This window comes from Homo sapiens, chromosome 6 (genome assembly GCF_000001405.40).
Source record: "Homo sapiens chromosome 6, GRCh38.p14 Primary Assembly".
Taxonomy (NCBI): Eukaryota; Metazoa; Chordata; class Mammalia; order Primates; family Hominidae; genus Homo; species Homo sapiens.
The window spans coordinates 105,646,266-105,648,058 of NC_000006.12; the positions used below are offsets into that span (position 1 = coordinate 105,646,266).

General features: G+C 40.7%; 1 annotated feature.

The window, feature by feature from the left end:
• Positions 546-735: an enhancer, noted in NCBI's record as "active region_24876". NCBI's record gives its function as "activates an Ori minimal core promoter by ATAC-STARR-seq in GM12878 lymphoblastoid cells {active_cell/tissue: GM12878}" and the evidence as "EXISTENCE:reporter gene assay evidence [ECO:0000049][PMID:35858748]".

Consider the following 1,793-nt stretch of genomic DNA (forward strand, 5'->3'; position numbering starts at 1 on the left):
GACCAACATAGTCACAGCAATTGAAAATCCTGAAGGCCCATCTATGACCAAATGTATTAATAAATAAAAAGACCTATAAGAAACCTTCCCACCAGCATTAACCACACCAAAAGCAAGTCAAACCCAGGCTTCTCATAACTGGTTCTTGTTCCAACACAAGAGTGAGAAGAGCATCTTGCTGCGGCCAACGGTTACTATAGCTCTCCTTTTGTAGAAAGCCACCGTCTTCGAAGAGCTTACTAGGTGTCTCCACTAAAGAACAAAAAACATGGGTAAGACTGGTTTCCTCTCAAGTTATGACTCAGCTTTGATCACCACACTTCCACTTGAGCCTATTAACGTTCAGTGGACAGAATGTCACTCTTTTTCAATCAGCTGCTACAGCAAACAATAGCCTTGCTGCATTTCAGTCATATAGAAAGCCACAGAATATTTCCTTTTGACTCTCTTCTCTCCACATCAGACCCACAGTCAGGCTCATGCTGAGGTCTATCTTCTCACAATCTACTAGAAAGTGGCCTGCCTCTACATGCTTACCCTGCTAAAATGAGAAGCAAGAAATAAACAACTTCATGTTAATTATAAATAGGAGGCACTGGATATTAAACCTGCCCATAGAATAATGGAGAAGGAAAGCATTGCGCTCCCTTTCTCCTTGAGTCGGGAGCCATATCCCTTGCCAGAACAGTGAACTCTCACTGGGTAGCAGGAGAGGCCACTATGATAAGGACCCAAGCAGAAGCCTGGGGGTGGGGTTCTCACGACCACTCACAGACCCCTGAACCTGGGGGGAGTAGCAGAGAACAGCCAAGAGCGACATGGACTGTCTTGCATTTTCCTCATCTCTTTATTCTAGAAAAAAAAAGAGGAAGGAAGAAAAAATGAAAGAAAAATGCTATAATTTTCTTTTCTCCATCTTTCTTGGAGATCAGAAAACAGTAGGTTCTGAAGATCTCCTCTGTGCTCATGGGCACGTGAAAAATTTCATGATGCTTACTTGGCTTTGAGATTTTATTACCATTATTATTGTTATTTTATATTAATATAAAAATAATAAAGATGTATTGAGCTCCTTCTATGTGCCCAACACTATAAGCATAATAAATACTTTATCTCTTAATCCCCACAGCTCCCTATGAATTAGATACTATTGATACTAATATTATCCCAAATTAAAAATTAGGAGCCTGAGGCATGAAAACGTGAACTCATTGGAGATCACACCACTCACAAATGGCAGAGCCAGGGTGCAGCCCTAGGTCCAGTGTCCCCAGAGCCCATTCTGCCATTCACTTCAGGTCATTCTCTTCCCATTTAGAACACTGAACTTTTTATATCCTCAACAGACATAAATGCTCAGCTTCAAGAGCCAAACAAAAATAATTGTTACAAATTCCACTGTTTGTTTTCCCAGGGGGTGCATCTTAGAGTTATTAAATGTAATCCTCTGTTCCCCTTACTCCAGTAGTTTCTTTACCCCTTTGGGAGTGTCCTACCATTCTTCCCCATTTCTTCACATTCCCTCCTCCCCCCACCCTTACCCAGGCTGTCTGAATTCTATTCCGCCTTAAAGATGTAACTCAACTTCCACCTCTCCCAAAAAGGGCTTCTTCAACTCCTGTCACCTCCATCTCTGAATTTTTATAGCATTTAATGTTAATGCTATTTACTTGGCATTTGTGTTTTTTGTGTTTTACTTTTTACTGTTAGTTCTATTTGAGAATAATTCATCTTGAGGCAGAATTCATTCTATCCCATTTTTTCATTGAGATGAAACCCTTGAAGGCAAGGAA